Source organism: Homo sapiens, chromosome 3, assembly GCF_000001405.40.
Source record: "Homo sapiens chromosome 3, GRCh38.p14 Primary Assembly".
Classification (NCBI taxonomy): Eukaryota; Metazoa; Chordata; class Mammalia; order Primates; family Hominidae; genus Homo; species Homo sapiens.
The window spans coordinates 107,101,413-107,127,973 of record NC_000003.12 but is presented as its reverse complement, the minus strand read 5'-3'; the positions used below and the strand labels follow the sequence as shown (position 1 = coordinate 107,127,973).

Genomic DNA, 26,561 nt, shown 5'->3' with positions numbered 1-26,561 from the left:
ATGGACTATGTTGAATAGTAGAAACCAGTTCTTACCACGTTGGTTATGCCACAGGCAATGCCAGTTTTTCTTAGCAAAGTTGAACTAACTATAACTTTGATTTATAATATATGTTAATATGATGCAAAAATGATAGTTCTTTTGTTTGGGTCTTTCACTGAACACATTTTATTGATTGCAGAGTTGTACAGCCAAAGATATTATAGAGAGGGTTGTGGGATGCCTAAAAATGCTGAGTTTGTTGGCAGAATCGAGATGACTCCTAATTTCTAACAGTGTCATTTTTCTGAGGCAGGAGCCAAATGTTATATTGTTTTAGCCAAGCTTCTTGAAATATTAGTCTATAATTTCTTTCCTTGCTTTCTGACACTCTTACTTACAGTCATCAAGTTTTAGTCACCATCTCGACACCAAACATGCACTGGAAAAGGTCTCTAATTTACTCCAGAGCAACAAGATCTTTGGGTACATTTCGGACTTCCTATTTTGATCTCCTGGAAGCTTTAGAAACTGACACATAATTGTTTATGTCAACTTTATTGGATCGCAGGGTCCCCATATATTTGGATAAACATTATTTCTTGTGTGAAACAACAGAGTGAGGTTGTTTCTGGATGAGATTAGTGTTTGAATTGGGAGACTGGGTGAAGCGCATTGCCCTTCCCAGTGTGGCTGTGCATCTTACCATCTGTGGAGGGCCTGGACAGAATGAAAGGGTGGAGAAAGGGAGAATTCGCTCTCTCTGCTTGAGCTGGGAAATTAATCTCATCCTGCTGAAAGCAGGGGTTTAACGTTTAGACATTAAACTGGGGTTTCCACCATCTGGACTCCTGGTTCTTGGGCCTTTAAACTTGGACTGGAATTATACACTGGGGTTTCCTAGGTTTCTAGCTTGCAGATGGAAGATTATGGGACTTCTCAGCCTCCATAATTATGTGAGCCAATTCCTGTAATAAATCTCTTTATACAGATAGATATAGATGTGTATCTGTATATATGTCTATCATCTATCTGTCTGATCATCTATCTCCTATTTGTTCTGTTTCTCTAGAGAACCCTGACTGATATACTAACCAATCATTGCCTTCTTGAAACTCTTTCCTACCATTGTTCCTTGACAGAAGTCTGGCTTGGAGGTTCTGTTTCTTCACTGGAATCTTCTACTCCATATCCTTAGGCTCCTTTTCCTCTCCTTACCATTTAAATATTGGTTAGTATTATTTTCTTTTCATTCCACTACCTGAATACTGATGATTTACAAATCTTTTTCTCCATCATAAAGCTTAGTCATGGGTACAAGAAGTACATTAAAGATATGCACCTCCTGCTACTTTGATTAGGATGTTCTATGGGGCTTCTATATTCAACCCATCCAACAGAATTCATGATCTTCCCCTCCCTGAACATCTCCACTCAAAGTCTGTTCTTTCTTTTATATTTCCATTCTTGAGGAATGAAACCTCCATCTGCTGAGCTATTAAGCCAGAAACATGAGAGTAATTATAGAACCTTCATATATAAGTGTTTAAATACTATTGTTTCAACTGCCTAAATATCTCTTGAATTTATCTCTCCCCCAATATCCTCATTAAAGCTTCCATATTTCTCTGTCTTTTTCCCCATGAATTAGTAGAGATGCTCCCTGACCAGTTCACTTTCCTCCTGTCTTAGCTTCCCAATTTACCTTCCACAGGGCAGTCAGAATGATCTTTCCAAAGACAAATCAGAATATTTCCCTTCCTTGAGGAAAAACCTGTCAATGTTTCTGCATTGATTTAGGATTATACTCCAAACTCCTTTATGTGGTGCACAATGCTCCTGAGGGCCTAGAACTTTACTGGTTTTAGCCCTGAAATTCTCACCATCACAGACAAAGCCTCATTCCCTGGGCAAACTGCAGTGGTTTATCGTCCCAGCTCAAAATATCTTTTTCGTTCTGGTCTTCTTGACTTGTCTTCAAGGTTCTGCTTAAGTTGATTTTTTCTAAAATCATATCCCAACCAATTTTTTCTCTAGCCTGAAATGTGTATACAGTGCTTGTATGTCCTCTAAGAAAAGGGATTATCATATTCTACTTTAATCTGGTCTTGCTATACTTTGTGCTTTTTAAAGAGAGATGCTCTATTGTTTTCATCTCTACATCTCAAACACATCTAGCACAGTGATTAGCACATAGCCATTGATAAATATTTGTTGTATGATATTAGAAAAACTCAGGGCATCCATCTTCATGCTGTATTCAATAAGTAACATAACTCTTTGCTGATTAACTTAGTATTTTCACATTTTTATTGTTTTCACTTTGAAATACAATCTTTTATTTTTCCTCTTCTGTTTTACTACCATTATTTAACTCAAAAATAGTGGTTATTTTTCTTGTTCTCTTAGTAGATCCCCCGTAATATGTTTAAACTTATTTGAACATTTCCTGCTTCTTCCATCCTAAAAGATGTAGACATGTTTAGAATAATTAAGAATATTTGCAAAAAGGATTTCTTACAACACTTAGTGAGGACCAAAAATGTACCAGGTTCTGTGAAACCTAAGTGTAAACTGAGGAATTTTGACTCCTGCCCTACAAAAATTTACAATCCAGGCAGTAAAGCTGAACAGTCTAGCCTGAAAATCTATTTTAAAACTGTTTTCCCCCAGTCCGAAGATATAACCTTGAAGCTTACTGCAAACCCCCCTTTTTTTTCTTCTCCTTAGTCTTAAAATATGGCCTTGGAGTGTACTTTCTTTGAAACACCATGTCCCTCCCTTTCCTGCCATACACTCCCTCACCTCGTGCACATTTATCTAACTGTATGCTTGTATCTAATTATGTGCTTACTTAGAAGTTCCAAGGGGCTAATCTTAAAACAGACAAAGCATAGAGACCCAGCTGCCAAATTCCAGAGATTACCTCAAGGCAGTTAGTCATCAACCTGGCCAGTGCTGAGATGACACCAGCCTGTGCTCCAGATGGCCCAAGGCTTGAGATAGCACAAAACATTCAGACCTTGGACTCAGCATCCCTCCCTCATGCCTCCCATTCCAAGTTCCCTTTTGTAAGCCCCTCTTTCCAGCCTAAAGTTTGAAGTGGTTCCTAGAGGCAAAAGCCAGCTGCGTCCCCACTGTTAGCTTTGGAAAATAAAGTCACTTTCCTTTTCACTGCACTTCATTCTTGTTACTGCTTTTGCAAGTGGTGAGTAGCTGAGCATGAGCTTGGTTACAAGGCAAGCATATGCTCTTAAGAATTTCATTTTAAAAAGCCCAAAATTATGAATATATAATCTAATGACCTGGGAATCTCTTCCTGTAATATACAAAATGTCTTTTAGGGATAAATAGAGGTGGGATATTTAGTTTTTTCTTAGGTGCCAAACACAACCAAAAAAGGCATATTTGAAACAAAACTGAATATTTCCCTTTTCCTTTCATTGATTTGTTTTAAATTTTAGCTGTCCTGTTTTGAATTTTCAAGGGCTTCTTGTCTCTCATTATTCCTTTTAAATAGTATTCTGTTCTTTGTTACTGACATAAACTCATTTCTCAGAGAATAGTAATGGCCAATTAAAAAAAATTCTTTCTTATACCCTGCATTGCCTCTTTTTCCTTTGTATTCCTATTTTTTCTTTTTTCCCCTATTTCTAAATTTTTTTCTGCTGGAAATTTCTCTAAAACACTTGTGGCAGTCATGTTTGAAGATTGAAGCAATAGAAAGTTGATTGGAAGCTGCAGGCCAGGGGAACTTATTTGCTGATAATTTACAGGGTAGTCCAGGGGAACTCAGCTCTTTCATTAGAAGCCTTCAAATTTGGAGTGTCTTTTCTTTGGGACTATTTGATTTATTCTAGGGAGGCATCCTCTCATATACTATCTTGGGATGGGGCTTTAAGCCCAGCTCTAGCATTCTATAAGCAGGGAGGAGGAAGGAGGCTGAGGCTGGATCTACTATTCACTGTGAAACTGCTTATTCAGTCCTATTGTCAGCTCCATGTTCCCACCTTCCTACCTTCTACTTAGGCCTGGTGCCCTAAATCTGAAGCCTTCAGATCCTGTCCTTTAAGGAAGCAGTAATGGTGGGGGTGAGATGTGAGAGGGATAACCACCAAGCTGCCAAGGATGCAAGGATGGTTGAGAGTGGCCTATAGATTTTTTTTTTTTTTTTGACAGTCTTGCTCTGTCCCCCAGGCTGGAATGCAGTAGCATGATCTTGGCTCACTGCAACCTCTGCCTCCCAGGCTCAAGCAATTCTCATGCCTCAGCTTCCCAAGTAGCTGGGAGTACAGGTGCACCCCACTACCTTTGACTAATTTTTGTATTTTTTGTAGAGACGGGATTTTGCCATGTTGGCCAGTCTTGTCTCAAACTCCTGGCTTCAAGTGATCCACCAGCCTTAGCCTCCCAAAGTGCTGGCATCAGGTGTGGGCCATGGTGCCCAGCCTGATCTAATATTTTCACATAAAGAATTTTAATTAATGCCTCTGGTTATAATCATATACATCTTACTCCTATTTGAACTATTTTGATAGGAGTAACTATTTTGATAGTTCAAATCCAGAGTCTTTCAAGGAGTCCTCTTTGTAGAACACTCTGTTCATACTTCTTTCATATATTAAGTCTGTTACTAATCCTATATCTGTTTTCTATCTTTTAAAAAATTATTGAAGTCTTTCAATTTCAGTAGTCTTATATTATTTTCTTCTCCTTGGAACTTGTACCTTTTATATTTTATTTCTCATATTGTTATTTGGGGAAAATTTCAGGACAGAGAAGAAATAGATGTACATATTCAATCTACTATTGTTCCAAATAAATTTATTATGCTTTTGTTTGCTAATTTTCCTTTGCCACATTCACTGGTTATGTGAAGAACATACTCTACTACTTATTCCTTCTAAAGCAATGACACTTTAAATTTGTCCTTTCCAGTCACTGTTTAAGTGCAATGAGTGTGTTGTTGGCAACATAAGGCAACACCTTTATAGAACACGGCCTATAGATGAATGAGAAACTAACCTTCTTTAGAAATTCTAGAAAAAATCAACTTGCAAATATATCTAATCACTAAAAGCATATTCTGTGCAGATAGTCTTTATTTACTAGTTATCAAAGGGTTATTTTCATGCAAAATAAAAATATACCAATAAAAGCCTTAAAACTTTGGAGAGCTGATTTTCTACTTCATGTTTTTTTTTTGAAATGTCAGACATGACTAAGGAGTGAGGTCTTTTTCTTTTCTTTCTGTATAGATATAAAACCCCCTTTCAATCTCCAGGTTTTGTTGATTTTGTTCCCTATTTTTTTTTTTTACTTTCTATTGCCTGCACTCTGGTAAAATCACCCTCACCACTCACTGGCTGTAATGAAAATGGCAAATACATTCCGTGCAGCCTGTCTTCCCCTAGCCCAGCCTGTTCTTCACACTGCCATCATAATGATGTTTTAAAGACAATTATAATCATAATCCTAGAGCAGAGATTGTTAACCTGAAATCATCCATGGTTGATCAACTTTGTAAGTCTGTGAATCCCTTACATTATAGAAAAAAAGTAGTGTTTATGATTATTTTATTTAGGGGAGAAGCCTAGGTATTTCATCATATCCTTGAAAGAGTCTGTGACACCTCCAACTGTTAAAAATCACTCCACAGAGAATCAAGTTGATGAATAATGATGAGAATAGCCGATGATCTTAACACACATGACTACCAAAATCTCTATTATTTTTCTGGAAACATGATTACTAGAAATCTAAATGGCATCTGTGATTGATTGGTATTCTCTTCCCCCCACATAAGAGTGGCAGAAGAATGACTGTTAGCCAAGTGTCTGTCAAAATGAACTACAAACATATTCATTAGGAAACAGGTTGTTAAAATGGATCAGGTATAAATATGTTTTGCATATCACAAAAGACACCTAAATTAAGGAAAGCTGTGAAAGAGCAGATAGCCATTTTTCAATTATATATGACCAATGTGGCATTTTTTGATATCTTAGTCAGTAATTTGAAGGTCTAGAAATGCCATACGTGCCTATGTAATTTGGGGTCACTGCTTTTGATACAGGCAGTGAGTCTAGAAATTTCTACCTCACTCAGAACAATCATGCTATGACTTTTTCCTACTTGTGCAATTACCAAGATTTCACACCATTTAACACTTTTATGTTTATGCACATGAATATTTACAGGGAAATAGACTTGGGCATTAAAAAAAAAAGTCATTCAGCTTCCTTGACTTCATCAGGTTGTTTGTGGAGGGGCTATTTCACAAACACACAAGCTACAAATCAAAGGTATATGACACCTTTTTATATTATCAGGCAACATGGTGATAAAAAAATGAAATGGAGTTTGTGAATTTTATTACTCCGGGTGACAATTTAATATGTGGGTGATGGTGTGCAGCTCCCAAATGAGATTTGTTGCATCCTCAGAACTGCATAAAATGTCTAAAGAGAGGGGCAAGCTTCCATGCCATATATAGACAGACTCATTGGATCTCCCGAGGAAGTCAGATTGGAAACTTGTAAGTCCATAGTCATTCACAGATGATAAAGTGTGTGAAGTGGGGAGCAGGGAGAGGCCGTGCTTGCATGAAGAATTTTAATGACTTAACGTTTCTTCTCTTCTTATTAATTTTAGCGTAGGGAGGGCAGTGGGATAAGGAAGTCATCAGTCTTGCATATGTCTTTTTCTGCTACAGATGGTACAATGGTTGATTTGGTACAAGGATCATACCAAATATGTATGCAGGAAGCCAAAAAATAGAATCAAATCAAACATGATTTTATAGTTGTTATTATTCCTAAAAATATCTGTGCTCCTGTAGGCATATGTCTTAGATAGGAGAATGCTGTTGGAATTTCTGGTCTCTGCATTGAGGGGCTGTTGGTCTTTTGGAAAGATGTGCTTATTGAATGGGACAAGCTTGCCCCAAGAGGCATTGCTAGGGCTGCTCCCAGACCTACTTGTGATTCAAGGCTGTGCTTCTCCTCTGCACGTGAGACAGGTGAGTTATGTTACTTGCTAGGTAAGAAGGAGGGGAGGAGATAAGTTACCTGAAATCATCTGATGCATTATTATCCCCTTCAGTATGGACATAACGTCAGAAGAGGATCACTGAATCAGATAGGGTAAAGCATTCTTTCGACCTCCCTGCTGGGGGCTTGTCTGTCCTGTTGTGCTGTACTTCTGTGCAGGTGGAAACAAGATGAACTCAAACCACTTGTCTGATTAAATGGGCCAACTGTTTCAGTCATTGCCCAAATAAACGGTGTTTCTGTGCCAACTTTCATGTGTATACTTTGGAGGAAATTGTTACTTCATATTCTAATCTCATCTTTTTCATGGGAGTCTTAGAAGTATTGGAAAGCTGTTTTGAAATCCTTTTTAAAACCTAAGATTGAGCCTCACAATTTTTTTCCTTTATATAGGTATTCTCAGTTTAAATTGCTTTACATTTTTACTTTTTCATTTCACAAATAGAAGGTAATTTATTTTGTTCCTCTTTGAGGGTGCTAAAATGGGATCACTGATTAGAAACTGATAACCACCCACTTGAGCCAGAATTCCTATCTTCTTATGAAACAGCGCTAAAACATTTGATGTAAAATTCCTCAGTATTTTTCAGATCAGACCCTCATTCATTTAAAAAATTTACCTACCTGTGAAAGATCAGAACCTGTACTTTCAGGCTACTGTTCCCTTATTAAATCAGTGAGCAAATGCCCTTAAAAGGGACATTCAATTGAAATTTAAAAAAAAAACATTATTTGAGTGCCTGTTGTATGTCAAGCCCCTTGTAAAGCACTGGGGAGAAAAAAGCAAATATTATAGCGTATAGGAAAGTAAGTAAAGATATTTAACAAACAACCCTAACGCAATGTGATAAGTGCTGTGATAGGGAATTTGGCTCTGTGATTTCAGTGTCAGTGGATTTCTTATTCAGTTAATCTCATCTGCCAAAGAAAATATTTTTGTAATGAGGAAATGTCACCTCTGTTCACCATTGGAAATTACTATTTATCAAGTTGTCATTTACTTGGATAATGTTATCAGGTATTGTCTAGCAGATAATATAGAGGGAAAATAGAACTATCTTCAATAGAGCCCCCTTTGACTTGTAAACTATGATACTCATAATGTTTAGTGCATGGTGTATATTTAGCTTCCTGCCCATCTGGTCTTTTGTTGAGGGACTGAACAATTGGTTTCCATAAGATCCAGTATTAATGAGAGCCCTCATTGTGGTTATTTTTATTACTCTCTTTCTTGAGCAGTTTTTTTTTTCCAAATGAGAATATTTACTGGGTACAAATGTAATTGCTTCAGAGATTTCCAGAAAAGGTGCTAAATTCGTCCTTATCCCAAAGCTGAATTTTAGTTGATCTTTTTTCCTCACCGACTTTTTCAGTTTTGTTTTTCACCACTTTCAAATAAGAATCAGTTGCATGTTCCAATCCTGGAGGTCTCTGAGTTTCCAAACTCTGAAGAAAGGGGCAAGAAAGGAAGAGTTAGGGATGTTAGAAGAGTTAGAAGAGTTACGAATGTTCCTATGTGCCTTCCGTCTGTCTTATACCTGCTGCGTGAGGAGCTGACGCCAACACCCAAAGCCCTGGACAAAGACTTCCTCCACAGTCACTTTCCTCTGACCCACAGGAACCTCCTTGGCTCCTCTCCCTCTTGCCTTCACAGCTTGACTTCCCCTTGTCATCTTGCCCTGTTAGGATCTAGCACCCTCAGAGCTGCTCTGGAAACCCCATAGGGCCTATCTCTGCCACTTGTACTACTCCACTCGCTCTCAGTAATGTGGGTGTGAGGTGCCTCGTCCCCTTGCCTAGCCCTTTCATAACATGGCTGGAAAGTCTTGTATGTGCTGTCCCCAAAACAGATCAGACAATGTTGACCCAACAGAAGGAGCATGGTCACCTCAGTCCCGGTGGGGGTTGGGGGTAGGGGGTCGGGGGAGCCAGTGAGGGGGAAGCGCACAGTGAAGGAGGCCTTGGATTTGGAGACAAAATTCATTTTGGGAGCCTGGAAGCTCTCTGGAACTGGACACAAACTCTTGTCTCTGTAGTTTGCTTACCCAGGGAACTTGGGTAAGAGCTAGTGAATAACTCGTATATGTATTATATGACCTTAATAAGTAATATTGTTTAGCCTGAGTTTTTGATACAGTTTTCAACTGCATGATGTTCTAACTCTGTCTGAGTTTCACAGAATTATTTCTCCAGAGTAAATTGACTTATTCTTCTGAGCAGAGCCCAGGTAGCCTAGTTATCTTAACTGTGAGGAACTGATAGAGCTCTCTATCTCCTTGGGGGATGTTTAAAAATACATAAAGCAAAATTATATCACCTTAAGAACGTTATGGTGATATAACATTCTTATCACCATGCTTTTAACATGCAGTCAGCCCTGCCAAATTTTCCTCTGCCATTGAGAATTGGAGTAATTATTATAAGTGCAGACAAAACTAGGTTTCTCTTGCAGGCAGATTTTTGTGATTGCACCCTGGACTTTCGTTCAGAATTCTTTTCAGTTTCTTAGGAAAGCTAAATGAAATTGCTGCAGTAAGGCCAGAGGGGGGCACCAAATAATCGTGATTGATAGAGTGGTTTGGCTGAGCATTTGCGGGAGGCTCAGGCATCAGGCCTGTGAGCCTCTGTGTCTGTTTTGAGCATTTTGGGCATAAAACATATTGAAGTCTCTTTGTTTACGGAATCGTCGTCAAGCCAGGAGCTGACACCCGAGCTTCAGTGGCCCAAAACATACTCAGCTAATGGGGAAGCAGCAGTTGGCAGGTTCTGTGGTTGTAAACATTTTAGAAAAATTTCTTCACGCTTTTTAGCTCCTTCCTTATTTCACTTATCAGAGTTGAATTGTGGGAAGAACTGAGAAACAAACTCTGCCATGCTCTTGGAAGGCGAGAATGCAGATGGGTCGTTCTTTCTGAGACAGAGGAATTATTGGCAATTTTCTAGGATTAATTGTTCTTGATAAATTGCTGAAATATCTATTTGGTCCTCAGGAAACTGGGGAGCATTCAATACCATTTAAAGTGTTTCTGCATTATTGGCTATTTCAGAAAAGTTGGCTTCCTCTGCTGTACTTCCTAAAGCCAGATTTCTAAATTCAATACAACTTTCAAAGCTATTCTACCACAATTGTTGCAATTTATCTAGTATGGAAAAGTAGTGTTTCATGTTTGTTGGTAGTTACTACTCCTTGTGATCTGTAGTTTGCTTAGATGTCCTTATTTATAGTGAATTAATTTAGGGCAGTGGGCAGGGGCCAGGGCAAAGGAGTTGGAATGTCCTCTATTCAATTGAGGAGGGTCTAGGTACGCTTACTTCATTCTTTGTCAGTACATGATGGATTCTAAGTCTTCTTGCAAAATACGTGTGAACACAAAAGTGATTAATTATGATCATGTCAAATTTGAAACTGATTTAAGTCCTGAACTATAATCTGTCACCTCAGTTTTCCTTTTAGACTTTTTGTATGGTTTAGGAATATTTCAAAAGTGTCCTTTGACCATCTCTTTTCATAAAGTAAAATCTGTGATCATGGGGTTACACGACAAGTCAGTTGATGCACACAGAACAATGCTGACTCAGGGAGACAGAGGCTGTGAGGGTTCTTATAAATGCTGACCCCTTCATATGCCGACATGTTCACTTAGTGTTTACGAACTTGAGCTCCGGAGCCAGACTACTTGGGTACTTGGGTAGGAATGTAGGCCCTACCACTTATTATCTATATGACTTTGGCAAGTTAGTGAGCTTCTGTGTGCCTCAGTTTCCTCATCCATAAAGTGGAGTAATGCTAGTATCATAGAGTTAGCCTGAGAATTAGATGAGTTATTATATGTAAAGCAGTTAGAATAGAACCTGGTGTATACTACTTCATAAGTACATGCTAAATAAATATTTTAGGTCAGGCAGGGTGGCTCATGCCTGGAATTCTAGCACTTTGGGAGGCCGAGGTGGGTGGATTGTCTGAGCTCAGGAGTTCAAGACCAGCCTGGGCAAAATGGTGAAACCCAGTCTCTACTAAAATACAAAAAATTAGCCGGGCGCGGTTGTGTGCGTCTGTAATCCCAGCTACTTGGGAGGCTGAGGCACCAGAACTGCTTGAACCCAGGAGGTGGAGGTTGCAGTGAGCCAAGATCATACTACTGCATTCCAGCCTGGGTGAGATTACTAGACTCTGTCTCAAAAAAAATAAAAAAAATTTTAAAAGTGATATAAAAACTATTATGTCAGTCCTATAGAATTTTTCCAGAGAAATTTACCATCAGGTGATTTTTATATGGGCATATATTGACTTAGTTGTTTCCTGTGCCTGGCTTCCTGGCTGGTATCTTAGGACCCTGCTGTTCTTTTATGCCTATAGAAACCTTTGGCAGGGCGCGGTGGCTCGCGCCTGTAATCCGAGCACTTTGGGGGGCCAAGGCGGGCGGATCACGAGGTCAGGAGAGCAAGACCATGCTGGCTAACACAGGGATACCCCATCTCTACTAAACACACACACACACACACACACACGCAAATTAACCGGGCGTGGTGGCGGGCGCCTGTGGTACCAGCTACTCAGGAGGCCGAGGCAGGAGAATTGAGTGAACCTGGGAGGCGGAGCTTGCAGTGAGCTGAGATTGTGCCACTGCACTCCAACCTGGGCAACAGAACGAGACTTCGTCTCCAAAAAAAAAAAAAAAAAAAAAAGAAAGAAACTTTTAAGAGACAAGAAATAGAACAATCAAAATCTTGTACAAAGATCATATTACAACCGACTCTTCAACATAATTTATTTAACAAACATTCATATAGCACTTACTATGTGCCACACACTGTTTTAAACACTGTACAAATATTAACTCATTGAATCCTCATTATAACAGAATACTTGTTGAATTTCAATTAAGTGATGTGGGAAAATCCTCTAGCCTGGTGTCTGACATGATAATCCTTTAATAAATATTTGTTGAAGGAATGAATACCTGTGAGTGACTCAATCAATCAGTCTATCTTGTTTGGCTAATAAAAAAAGCAAATAATATACCAGGATGTTATATTAAGTGGCCTAATGTGTTCTCAGAAACTGGAAACAATTGAGACTCTTTATCCACAGCTGTATTCAGTTTGTACTGAAGGGACTAAAGTGGCCTAAATGTGCCTGTTCCTTTCTGAATATTAAGTCACTTGCTATTTTGATATTAAGCTTAGATGTTTAGATGTCGTAGAATTGGTGAAGTCTTGGTGACTTGTAGGCTGTTACATTCAACTTATATTGAATATCTTAGTGTACCATTCTAAATTTCCATTTTTATCTTTATTTTGGATTTTGAGCAGACAGTATTATGATTCTGTTTAAGACATGAAGACATGCCAATTTTCCTACACTCTTTCAATTGCATTCTTTTGTTTTAATCTTGGAAAACATATTTGCATCATATTTCTTAATTTGTCACAGCCTGAGAAGTGACATTATTGAATGACAGTAGGAGCTTGAATATTGTGCTTTGAAATGCCATTGAGGATACCATTATTCATGTGACAGCCCTGAGAAGATTAGCAAATAACTACTTAACATTTTATAATGCTTTATCATCATAAAAATCCACATATTAAACTTGAGGAATAAATTACTTAAAAATATATCATTTCTATTCAAACACCATTTGGAAAAACTTGAGAGATAAATGCCAGTTTTTAATGAAGCTACAATAAATGTTTTTATTCACCATGTTATTGCTCCAGTCAATTGTAGATTATTTTTATAATCACTAAATTAGCTGCATTTAGCCTTAAACCTACTTGTTGAAACACAGTTAACATGGTAGAAGAGAACCAATGTAATAATAGTCTAAGACTTCAATAGTCTCTGTGCCTGTCTCTCTTTTCTCTTCCTTTCTAGGTACTAGTTGAAATGATCTCTTCCTAATCTATGACAAGTATCTGGGAATGTGGAATTTAATTTAATTATTATTATTATTTTTTGAGATGGAGTCTCGCACTGTCACCCAGGCTGGAGTGCAGTGGCGCGGTCTTGGCCCACTGCAACCTCTGCCTCCTGGGTTCAAGCGATTCTCCTGCGCCCACCACCACGCCCAGCTAATTTTTTTTTATTTTTCATAGAGATGGAGTTCCACCGTGTTAGCCAGGATGGTCTTGATCTCCTGACCTCGTGATCCGCCTGCCTCGGCCTCCCAAAGTGCTGGGATTACAGGTGTGAGTCACCGCACCCGGTGGAATTTAGTTTTTAAAAATGAAAGTGTTGAGATGTGGTACTGAAGGGCACGTGGAAAAGAGTGGGTAACTTTCCACGAGGAGCTCAGGTCCCTTTGGTGGCTATGAAGAAGTGGAGAGGAAAAATCAAAACTGTAAACTCTTATCTCTGAAATTAAATATTGTTGATACTGCCAGAGTAGACATGGGATTGTGGGCAATTCCTGGTTTCAGGGAAGTCAACAAATCTTCTGAAGTTACAATGTAGTTAAAAATAACAGTTGAGGAGTGGGATTGCCCTGTGCCTCATCCAGTGGTCAGAGGTGTAGAGTGGGTTGAAGTTTATAAACTGACAGTCAATAAAATCTGCCCCAACCCAGGCAAGTAACTGGCAGGCTTGAAGCCTGAGAAGAAGCTATTTAAGTAAACCCTAAAAATTCTAGTGCAATTTGACACCCTTGTTTCAGTATAGCTCTGGGATAGAGGCAGAGGGGTGGTCTCCTGACTGCATGGTGGAGGTTTTTGATGGGATGAGGGGCAGAGTGATGAAAAGATGACATTATTGGTAAGTCCAGATTTCAGTTGTGAACTGATACTTCAAGTTTTGGTAGTACTGACAGTGGACAGCCCCTCAATAGGATGAACAGGTTTCTGATAGGGACTGTGACACCTTCTAGCTTTAAATAAGACATCTGAATTCTGTCTCCAGAGATAAGAGGCACAGACTGTTGGTCTTAGATGCTAGGATTCTGGGATATTACAGAATGGTAGTATGGGGCGGGCTGTCTGGAAGGAAGATACTGGACTTGTTTAGTTTGGTTATAAGCTTGTCCATGTCAGTATTTAATAAACATTCAGGTGGCTCAACAAATTTTGTGGAAAAAATATTGCATGACAGTAGGAGCTTGAATATTGTGCTTTGAAATACCATTGAGGATATCATTATTCATGTGACAGTCTGTGGAGTAGGAGCCTTAAGTTCAGATTACCCATCCGTATATCCACTCCCACACATATATATTCAAACATGCCGTAAATTCTCATTTACTCCCTTCTGCCTCTTTTCCTTCCAGAATGAAGGAATCTCTTGACAAATGTGCCCCCTCCTCGCCCTCACCCCTCACACCCATATTAAGTCAGATTGGTCCCCTCAGCATCCCTGAACTTGCCTTGTTCATCATCATCCTAAAATACTTCTCATGCTATTTCTCTTACCTGGTTGTTCTCAGCTTTCTCTTTTTGCCTCTGCGAATATTATCCATTCTTTAAAGTTGAATGACCCTTCTTTGGCTACTTTTCCAAGCTTGTGCCCTTTCTACAACTTCATCTGTCTTAATAGATTGAAAACTTCTTCAGAGTAAGGGCCACATCTTTGTTTTCTTCTTTGCTATATTCTGTGTACTGTACCACACTCTGGTGATGTGTGACTATAAGCCAGGTAATGAAAAATCCTGATTTTTGCAAAAAGGAAAATTTTGCTTAATCTGCTTTGTAGTCTCTAAATAAACTTAGCCACTGCCTTCACAAATTACAAATTGCTTCTGATAAGTTCATTTTTAAAAATGGTATCAAAAGTCCCCTTTTGTTTTGTTTTACATTTATCCCCTTGAAATTCTCCTTGACCATAATCATGGTCAAAGACTTGAAATAGTTGGAAGTTTCCTCAGGTGGACAAAGGTGCTGAGATTAGATGTTCTAAAACATAACTTCAGTAGTCATTAAGGCCATAATCTGAATTAAGTTTCCTAGTAAATTACTGAAGAATGCTTATTTAAGTCTTCTGATCACTGTACCTTGTATGTATCAAGATATCGTTTTGTATCCCATGAATATGTACAATTATTATTTGTCAATTAAATAAAAAATTTTAAAACACACATAAAAATAAAGTTATCTGAAAGCTATTCATCTAAAACTGATCCAATTAGACAGATGTATCACTGCAAGCTACAGTGCTCAAATTTATGATATTCATAGTGAAATAATTTACTGTTACAATATATTTAAGCTCCCTGGAACCTTAATGTCAACCATATTGTTAGGCACACATAGTAGGTTCTCAATAAATATTTGGTGGAAAATTGATGTATTTTAATGTATGTATATTTGAGTGAGCTATTTCTGTTTTTGGTGTCCTGTCCTGATTTATAGTGAAATCTCTCAGTCTAGATTATTTTGGCACATTGCCAAACATAATGTAATGAAATAGAAAATTCTGTTCATACTAATTTATGACCAAATCTAAAACCTCTTTGAAATTAGTAGAGGTGCCTTTGTCTTCACAGAGCTTGGAAGACAATGAACTATTTTTCACAGAGATTATATTTAGTTATTTTCTTTTTGTAATTGTATTTTAGCACAAACTGACAAACAACTACATCAGCATTATCGTCTTTATCCTGTATTCACGAACATTTAAATTAAATTAGTATTCTTTAGGTTACATATGACATAACTTAAAATTTTTTCTGGATAAATGGTTATTTTTATAGTTGCATTATGGACTTTGGCATTATTCAAAGAATACATAATTTAAATTCTGACAAGCTTTTAAAACATTTTCTTCTAAGCAATGCCTGCAAATTAGTCTTTTCTTTCCCTTTTTAGACTGGGGCTGTGGCTGAGATGTCACATGGCAGATAGGATCACAAATTTCTGTTGTATCTGGATGGAGATCAGCAGGAGGATCTATGGGTGAGAAGAAGCACAGTTACAGATGGATTCTAGAGCCTGCTTGCTGACACAGGCTTGCAACTGCGGACTTTATAAGCTTAGTTTTTAATCTGCTATCAGCTAGCATAATACCATAAATGCATAAGAAACTAAGTATTCAGTCTTACGAGAAATGCTATCTTGACCTGACCCTTTCTCCAAATAAATTGACAAAATATCTCATCGTCTAGGATGCCAGACAGAAATACCAGTTGCAATGTTTTGTTGCATAAAGTTTATCCTAATTTAAATTAGTGGCATATAAAGTCATCATCTTGCTTGAACAAACATCTTATTAAATTGAGCATGTCTTTTATCCCATGAAATGAAATTAATTTTGAGATAGTTATTTTTCAGTTGGAAATTTATTGAGTTGATAGAAAACAAGTTATATAGTCTTCCAAAGAATATGTTACATCCATTTGCATTTTGTTTTTCTTCAGCAATGTTTGGTTTTTAGAAAATCTTACAAGTTAAATATACTAATGTAGAAATTGAAAGAAAATAATCAGAGATAGAGCAATAAATTTGCAAATAAAGATTATTCTTAAAACAAATGTTTACTGTAGTTTTATTTATATAAAAAATCCCAAACTACCCAAGTCTTCAAATAATAAAGACACTATTAAAAAACTGTTACCTTTCCATTTATGGATTATTAGGTAGACTTTAAAAATATTTTAAAAGACTTTTTAAAGGGCTATGCCATTTTCCCTAATGTAAAAACAAAGTAAAACACCATGACGAACCCCCAGAAAACCGACCTGTATATTCAATGTACCAACCAATTGCATATACACTAGAATTTTTGTTTGTAAATAGATGAGTGTGCATAAGACAATATGTTAAAGTACAGACACTTCCTACCTAATACAGATTGAGTTCTTACTATGTATTCAGTTCCCACTATACTCTAGGCTCTTGGCTAAGCACTTTAAGGGCCTTATCACATTTAATACTCACAGGAGCACAATGAGATTGTTCTGGGCAAGCCAGAAAATCACACTGTCAGAAACTGATTTGCTGGGTGAATACTTTCAGATCATTTTGAAGTTGAAAATCACAGGCAAACACTTTGAAGCCATGTCAGTTGTGTATTGGAAGGAATTAAACATGCAAATGTAATGAGTGCAATAGATTTTAAGAGTCTGTTTTTTCGGAGGTGATGCAGTAATTGCTGTGGTTGGGACTGTCTCTTGAAGTGGAAACTAGACAAGTGGGTTTAGACATTAAAATTCCTAACAGTGGTTTGCTCCCTCTGTAGCCTTGGATAGAGCACCTGTCCCTTAACACATTAGAGCTCCCATAAAATAAACTGCTTTACCCCAGCTAAAAGGAACAGTCTCTTTGATGGAACTTGAGCTACAGTCATGGTGATTTTCCACTAGGTACTTCAAAGAGGACATCCTCTCCTGAAGAACAGAAGAACCTGAAATGTTTGGAGCCTAAGGTTTCTAGGATCTTCTTTTGCCAGTCTTCCCCATTTATTGCTCTCCTCCCATCAACCACACTGACAGTTGAAGGGTTAAAGAGTGGTGTTGCATGAGGGTTTGCACTAGGGAGTCCATTTTCTCCTAAGAATTATTATATTACATTATGTTGCCAAGACATACAAATGAAGAATAACTGGTTTTAATACATAGAAGAATCAGGCTTGTTTTGCTTCTTTAATAATAATACATAAAAATTGGTGGCAATTTATTTTTGCATGTGAGGAAAATAAAACGCAGAGAAGACTGTAATTTCCCTAAAGTCACACATCTACTGCATGAGAGACAGAGTCAGAATTTCAACGCAGGTCTGTCTGGCTTCAAAGACCTTCGTTATTTCAGTAGTGGGACCATGGATCATATTTCTTCCTTTAAAAAATATTTCCTCAGTATTTTTCTAAACCTTAGATGATGATATTGCTTTTATAATTAAGCAATACATGTTATGAAAATAGAAATAAAATATTTTTATGTAAGCTGAAGAAATGAGAAAAGAGATTTTTCCTGTTAAGGAAAAACAAGTTCCTGTTCTTCTTTTCTATTGTAGACTGCTGTGATTGCACCTGCCATCTTATGCAGAAATGACCTGAAGACAGACTGAAACAACGTGTTCTACAGCCTGAAAATATCTACCTTGACTTACAGTTTTATTAATGCTGGTGTGATCAGACTGGACAAAAATTAGCATATGTTATTAACTGATCTAATTCAAGTGCCAATTCTTAATAGAAACACAAAACAATAAAAGCAATTCAGAAAATATTTACTATTTGATTTCTTCAAGCTCCAAACAGGCTTGTGCTTAGCTGTAGAAACTTGAATATATACAAATCTACATGGATAGAATTCTTAGTCTTCTTTGGGCCAGGTGTGTTAGCCCCTTGGGAAAGGATAAAGTTTTGGAATATATTTTTATTCATGAACCTGCTCTCTTTAAGACTTCTGAGGAAAAGAGCTGCTGGGCAGATGAGTAGAATATGTTACTACTGTTCCGACATGTCTACCCATCAAAACTAGCTGATACAGTACACTTTAATGACCCTTCTATAGTCAAAACTGACATTGACATTGACATTAACAGAAAAGATTTGGGACAAAGAACTGTGTTCATGCAGCAAATCAGCCTCAAACTTCACCACAAGCTGCACATTTTATGCTACTGTATTCTGCTTAAGCACTTATTTGTATTTATGTAAACTGAATGATCCTTTAATACTTAAGGACTTTATTCTGGGTGAGTTAGAATCACACTGTTTTGGCAGGAAAACTCTTTGATAGGAAAAACTGTATGGCTTGATAATTTAAGAGCTAAAAGTAGCCAAATCAGGAACTACTGAAATTCTTCAGTATCTGTTAGAATATCTCCTGTTTGAGCCATGTTTGTAAATGATGTTCAAAGGCATTTCAAAAGCATGTAAATTAAAAAAACAATTCATTTGATTCTGCTATGGTTTAAATATATATATCCCTCCAAAATTCATATGTTGGAACTTAAACCCCAAGGTGATGGTGTTAAGAGGTGAGGGCTTTGGGAGTTATTATAATTAGGCCAGGAGGGCTCTGTCCTCATGAATGGCATTAATGCCATTATAAAGGAGACTTCAGAAAGCTGCCTGGCCTTTTTCTGTCTCTTCTGCCCTGTAAGTACACAGCATTCATCCCTTTTGCCCTCCCACCTTTTGCCATGTGAAGATGCAGTAACATGAAGGCACCATCTTGGAGGCAAGAGCACAGCTCTCACCAGACACTGAATCTACCTGCACCTTGATCTTGGACTTCCCAACATCCAACTATGAGAAATAAATTTTTATTATTTATAAATTACCCAATCTTAGTGTTTTGTTATAGCAGTACAAACAAACAGAGACAGATTTTGACAGTCATATAAAACCTCAAGTACTTTGTAAAAAGAAAATATAAATGTTGAATGATTGAAGAACGTGAAAGACTGGACAGTGAGAAAACATGGGGGTAGGGGTTGTAGAAATGGAGTGGTATTCAGAGACATAACTAATTTAAGCTATCTCTAGGACAAGGTTAAATAACAGAAAAATCAAATGGGCCTCTGACTGGTAGCGTGTTTTGTTTGGGTACTAAGGGGTAGAGTTGTATTAGTCCATTTTCATGCAGCTAATAAAGACATACCCGAGATTGAGTAATTAATTAAGAAAAAAGAGGTTTAACGGACTCACAGTTCCACATGGCTGGGGAGGCTTCACAATCACGGTGGAAGGTGAAAAGCATGTCTTACATGGTGGCAGGCAAGAGGGAATGAGAGCCAAGTGAAAGCAGAAACCCCTTATAAAACCATCAGATCCTGTGAGGCTTATTCACTACCACAAGAACAGTATGGAGGAACCACCTCCATGATTTAATTATCTCCCACCAGGTCCCTCCCACAACACGTGGGAATTATGGGAGCTACAGTTCAAGATGAGATTTGGGTGGGGACACAGCCAAACCATATCAAGAGTGTTCAGCTTTAAAGAGTGCCTGAGAGTATGGGTCCAGGAGTTTGGACATCCACAGCTATTGTGACTCTTGGCATAAATTGATAACTTTCAAAATTAAAAGAATTCATCTTAAACTATTAGTTCCTCTGAAATTCCAGCAAAATACTCAGGTTTGAGAATTTCTGACCACTGCCTATTAGCTTTAGGTCAATAACTAGAAGATAATTAGGCTAAGAGCTCTATCAGTTATTTTATATTTGGGGTGATAGATGTCAATATTTACATGTATGATTTAGGTGCTTTTGTGTGGATCTTTGCATTGTGGCAAATTGAGGAAACCTAGATATTTGGTATGATTGATTTGGACTGCTAGAAGGAGCCTTCCCTGTTTTTCACCACAAAAATATTGGTTATTTCCATGGCCTCAGTATCCCAGGAAAAAGTGAATGAAATAGCTAAAGGGAAAACTCCTAGGTAATTACTTCTGTTGATTATTTAATCTTAGTAAATATAATATTTGATAGAGATTTTAACTGATCAAGGAGAGAAAATATTTTTTGTTCTGTATGAATGCAACCTGATAATTCTACCAAAGCAAGAGTGGAATAAAAATCTTTCCACTGACACAGATTGTGGTGGATATGGGATGTAGTACAACAGAAAAGAAAAACACAGCCTCACAATATAGATAATGCATAGCTGAGAGAAACTTTCCTAGGTAATAAGCATTTGCAGCTAAGATTTCCTAGGGTGTTTTGGAAGAAAACAACTGCCACAGAAATGCAGTTGGGAAAGACTATGTTGAAATTTTGAATTTTGCCATTTGTAAAAAGGGAACAAATATTATTTGTGAATTGTACTGAAAACATGGATATAAAGAAGTGATCATTGGGGGGTGGAGGAGGAGCTAGCCGGGCCGGGGGGCAGCTGCACAGTCTCCAGGATCCCCAGGCCTGGAGTGGGGTCCGTGCATGGCCAGCTGGCTCTGCCCCACGGCCAGTCCTGAGCAGGCCTCCCTTGGGCCAGCCCGATGTGACTGAGCCCAGCAGACCCTGAGCAAGAAGCAGGTCCATCGCGGAGCCAGAGGGCAGGAGGAACATGACATCATGGAAATGGTTTCACCCAAATATCACTGGTGTGGAGGCAGAAAACCTACTGTTGACAAGAGGAGTTGATGGCAGTTTTTCGGCAAGGCCTAGTAAAAGTAACCCTGGAGACGTCACACTTTCTGTTAGAAGAAATGGAGCTGTCACCCACACCAAGATTCAGAACACTGGTGATTGCTATGACCTGTATGGAGGGGAGAAGTTTGCCACTTTGGCTGAGTTGGTCCAGTATTACATGGAACATCATGGGCAATTAAAAGAGAAGAATGGAGATGTTATTGAGCTTAAAAATCCTCTGAACTGTGCAGATCCTACTTCTCAAAGGTGGTTTCATGGACACCTCTCTGGAAAAGAAGCAGAGAAATTGTTAACTGAAAAAGGAAAGCATAGTAGCTTTCTTGTACGAGAGAGCCAGAGCCACCCTGGAGATTTTGTTCTCTCCGTGTGCACCGGTGATGACAAAGGAGAGAGCAATGACGGCAAGTCTAAAGTGACTCATGTCATGATTCACTGTCAGGAACTGAAATACGATGTTGGTGGAGGAGAACGGTTTGATGCTTTGACAGATCTTTGGAACATTAGAAGAAGAATCCTATGGTGGAAACACTGGGTACAGTACTACAACTCAAGCAGCCCCTTAACACGACTTGTACAAATGCTGCTGAAATAGAAAGCAGAGTTCGAGAACTAAGCAAATTAGCTGAGACCACAGATAAAGTCAGACAAGGCTTTTGGGAAGAATTTGAGACACTGCAACAACAGGAGTGCAAACTTCTCTACAGCCAAAAAGAGGGTCGAAGGCAAGAAAACAAAACCAAAAATAGATATAAAGGCCGGGCGCGGTAGCTCACGCCTTGTAATCCCAGCACTTTGGGAGGCCAAGGCGGGCAGATCACAAGGTCAGGAGATCGAGACCACCCTGGCCAACACGGTGAAACCCCCTCTCTACTAAAAATACAAAAATTAGCCGGGCGTGGTGGCACACCCCTGTAATCCCAGCTACTAGGGAGGCTGAGGCAGGAGAATGGCGTGAACCCGAGAGTCAGAGGTTGCAGTGAGCCAAGATCACCACTGCACTCCAGGCTGGGCGACTGAGCGAGACTCCGTCTCAAAAAAAAAAAAAAAAAAAAGATATAAAAACAAAACATCCTGCCCTTTGATCATAGGGTTGTCCTACACAATGGTGATCCCAGTGAGGCTGTTTCAGATTACATCAACGCAGATATCATCATGCCTGAATTTGAAACCAAGTGCAACAATTTGTAGCCCAAAAAGAGTTACATTGCCCCACAAGGCTGCCTGCAAAACACTGTGAATGACTTTTGGCGGATAGTGTTCCAAGAAAACTCCCAGGTGATTGTCATGACAACGAAAGAAGTGGAGAGAGGAAAGAGTAAATGTGTCAAATACTGGCCCGATGAGTATGCTCTAAAAGAATATGGCATCGTGCATGTTAGGAACGTCAAAGAAAGCACCACTCATGACTATAAGCTAAGAAAACTTAAACTTTCAAAGATTGGACAAGGGAATATGGAGAGAATGGTCTGGCAATACCACTTGTGGACCTGGCTGTACCACGGAGTGCCCTGCGACCCCAAAGGCATGCTGCACTTCCTGGACGAAGTGCACCATAAGCAGGAGAGCATCATGGATGCAGGGCTGGTCGTGGTGCCCTGCAGTGCTGGCATTGGCCAGACAGGGACGTTCATTGTGATTGATATTCTTATTGACATCATCAGAGAGAAAGGTGTTGACTGCGAAATTGACGTTCCCAAAACCATCCAGATGGTGCGGTCTCAGAGGTCAGAGATGGTCCAGACAGAAGCACAGTACCGATTTATCTATACGGTGGTCCAGCATCATATTGAAACACTACAGCGCAGGATTGAGGAAGAGCAGAAAAGCAAGAGGAAAGGGCACGAATATACAAATATTAAGTATTCTCTAGTGGACCAGACGAGTGGGGATCAGAGCCCCCTCCTGCCTTATACTCCAATGCCACCCTGTGCAGAAATGAGAGAAGAGAGTGCCAGAGTCTATGAAAACGTGGGCCTGATGCAACAGCAGAAACATTTAAGATGAGAAAACCTGCCAAAACTTCAGCACAGAAATAGATGTGGACTTTCACCCTCTCCCTAAAAAGATCAAGAGCAGACGCAATAAAGTTTATGTGAAGACAGAATTTGGATTTGGAAGGCTTGTGTTGTGGTTGACTACCTTTTGATAAGCAAAATTTGAAATCATTTAAAAACCACTGTATTTTAACTCAACAATACCTGCTTCCCAATTACTCATTTCCTCAGATAAGAAGAAATCATCTCTACAATGTAGACAACGTTGTATTTTATAGAATTTTGTTTTAAATTGAGGAAGCAGTTAAATTGTGTGCTATATTTTGCAGATTATGAGGATTCAAATTCTAGTTATAGGTTTTTGTTGTTTTTTTTTTTTCTTTTTATAACCTTAACCAGTTTAATTTTTTTTTCATTGTGGGGCAAGGTAAGAAGAAATGATTTGGGAAAATTAAGTAACAACATCCTAGAAAAGTGAGAACAATCTCATCTACCATCATGTATCCAGTAGTGGATAATTCATTTTGATGGCTTCTACTTTTGGCTAAATGAGAATTAAGCCAGTGCCTGAGACTGCCAGAAGCTTACTGGTCTACCTTTGCATTAGCATTAAGGAGTCATAGAAAAAGAATCATGGATATTTATGAATTAAGATAAGAGGTGTGGCTTTTTTTTTTTTTTTCAGCCGATGACCAATTACAGTTCAGCTGTTGACTGAGAAGGTTGTGGTGGGAAAACATTTACCATATTTTCTTTGCATTTGAGTAATTGTCTTGTACTTAGAAAAAAGGCACCTATGAATGACCAGTGTTTTTGGTTGTCAAATGTTGCTCACAAACTTACCCCAAAAGTTTAGTGGCTTAAAACAATCCCACCCCCAACTGTTCTTCAATCTGAGCAGGGCTCAGCTGGGCCGTTCTTCTGCCAGCCTGCAGGTGGCCACTCAATGTGGTCAGCAGGTTGACGGAGAGACTGTGTTGGCTGGGGTTCTCTCTTGGCCTGCAGTCCTGAGTCTCTCCTTCTCTGTGTAGTCTCTTTCAGTGGCCTGACTGGCAGGGTAACTAGACCTCTCACATGCAGTTCAGAGCTCTCAAGAGCTCAAAAGCAGAAGGGGCCAGGCCTTCTGAAGACTTAAGTCCAGAATTGTTGCAGCATCCCTTCTACTGCCCTCTATTGATGATGACGATGATGATGATTTTTTCTAAACAGAAGAGAGCTGGAGTATGCCTCTACTTATTAAACAAGTCACGAGCCCAGCCCAGATTCAAGAAAAGGGTGTGAAGTGGAGGTGCAGTTAATTGGGGGGCCACTAGTCTAACAGATGGTCACAACCAGTGCCATGGAAAACCAAGGATATTAGCAAAAGTAGAAGTTGCTAGTGACCTTGGGAAGCCAAAGCCGCTTACAGTAGCTGGGACAAGCTGAAAGTCAGACTAAGAAATAAGGAGAGGTCCTTCAAGAAGCTTCCTGAATGATTTCTGCTAGCCCTGAGCCTATTTCTGGAACCAGCACTTGGGGAAACTGATCCTGTGAGAATGGATGTGTTTAGGGACACAGGGCTTTTGAAAGCAGCACCACCCCACTGGGCCACCTCTAGACTTGGGAATGTGATGTTTTCTTAATGCCACTGGTTTTCAGTCAGGCCACAGTGAGAAGGAACAGCCCTAACAGGCCTCCAGCCAGGTTGAAAGAGCTCATTTTTGTTTTAGCCAACCGGTAAGATTTTCTAATGTTCTACCTTAAGTGCCTTCTCCAAAGACATCCCTCTTTTGCTCATATGTTGAATCATCATTCAGTATATTTCAGTTAAAATATCATTGGTTGACTTTTGTAACGGTAATAAAATGCTGTGGCATCTTGGCCGTGAAAAAAAAAAAAGAAGTGATCATTACAATAGATATTTGTGGACAATATCATTGGTGTCAAATGCAGACAAGGTTTGCAGATGAAAAAAAATTAGATGACAAACCAAACCTGAGGCCAAACAGAGTAGTGCTAGGTCATTTCCTTGGCTTCCCTAATTCCCCAGGAGGGAAGAGCTGGGTGCTAATCAACTAATACCAATAAACTGCTCTTCCTTTGCCCCTAATTTTTGATTGTTCTATAGGTGAGCAGAAGAGGGTGAGTGTGTTTGAGGGTGAGTGAAGGTCAAGTTTCCGTATCTGCAACAAAGCGTCTGTTGTTCAAAATCTCCCCTTGCATTCTAAGAAGGGTGGACCCTGAAGGCGCACTTTTATTTGCTGAGGTGGATGGTGAGTGAGGATACAAACTGGGGAAGTTAAGTATCTACTACATTGCTTAATTTAATGAAAGTGGATTGAGAGGTTGGGGAAGGTAGTTCCGGTAGCAGTGAGTTGGCTACAGATGTGGAGAAGAGTTTTAAGCAACTGAAGTGGGAGAGGAAATTAGGGGCAAAGGAAGAGCAGTTTAAAGCAGAGCATTTCTGATGTCTTCCTAGGTAGTTAAAACTCGCTTTTTCATTTCCACATAGACACTTCAACCAAAGTGACTTCTATTTTTGGAGTGGTGTGTGTGTGTGTGTATGTGTTTAGATAGGACATATTGAAACTGCATCCTTGTCTGGGGTAAATACCTGAAGTTCGTTGTCTCCTGGCAGGGAAATCGAGGATGTGGACACACAGGAAGTGAGTTTAAGAGTGGAGGTTTGGCCGGGCTCGGTGGCTCACACCTGTAATCCCAGCACTTTGGGAGGCTGAGGCAGGCAGAATACCTGAGGTCAGGAGTTTGAGACCAGCCTGGCCAACATGGTGAAACCCCGTCTGTACTAAAAATACAAAAATTAGCCGGGGGTGATGGCAGGCGCCTGTAATCCCAGCTACTCGGGAGGCTGAGGCAGGAGAATCGCTTGAACCCAAGAGGTGAAGGTTGCAGTGAGCCAAGATTGTGCCATTGCACTCCAGCCTGGGGCACAAGAGCAAGATTTCGACTCAAAAAAAAAAAAAAAAAAAAAAGGTGGAGGTTTAATAGGTGAAAAAAAGAAAAGAGAATAACTCTCTCTCCTGCAGAGAGAGAGAGGGGTTCCAAAGTGGGTCTTCTGGCTTTATGGTCAAATGCATGAGGTTTTATAGATGAGCTTGAGGAGGTGGTGTCTGATTTACATAGGGCCCAAAGATTGGTTGGACCAGGTGTGGCATTTACATAGTGTGCGAAGAAGCGAAGAAGCTGGTCACCCCACCCTAATCTTTTATTATGCAGATGGGTTTTCTACCTGGCCAGCGCCATGTTATCTGTTCCTTACTGTACATGTGGTTGACAAAAGGGAAGATGGAGCTGCTATGCTGAACATGCCTAGCCCCCAGGTAGCCTTTTCCTATTGGTACAGCTGCCAGCATTTACCTATGGAAGATTTTCACTTGCTTATCTGTGCTTGCAGCTTGATTTTTCAGGCTGCTTTTTGTTAGAAAAGAAATGATTTTGGGGCTGCTTTTTATTAGAAGGAAACCTTACCAAGGATTCTCTTACCCTCACTAACTAACTTCCTAAATAA

At 39.2% G+C, this 26,561-nt stretch overlaps 1 long non-coding RNA gene and 1 pseudogene across 1 annotated transcript in view; both read left to right on the top strand.

Annotated features, from left to right (window-relative positions):
- The window catches only part of LINC00882 (long intergenic non-protein coding RNA 882), a 130,849-nt gene extending 112,665 nt beyond the window's left edge, over window positions 1–18,184 (top strand). Inside the window, exons 3-4 of the long non-coding RNA NR_028303.1 lie at window positions 15,828–15,914; window positions 17,970–18,184. This is a non-coding gene — a long non-coding RNA (long intergenic non-protein coding RNA 882). The remainder of the gene's footprint in view (window positions 1–15,827; window positions 15,915–17,969) is intronic.
- PTPN11P1 (PTPN11 pseudogene 1) lies at window positions 20,809–22,660 on the top strand (annotated as a pseudogene).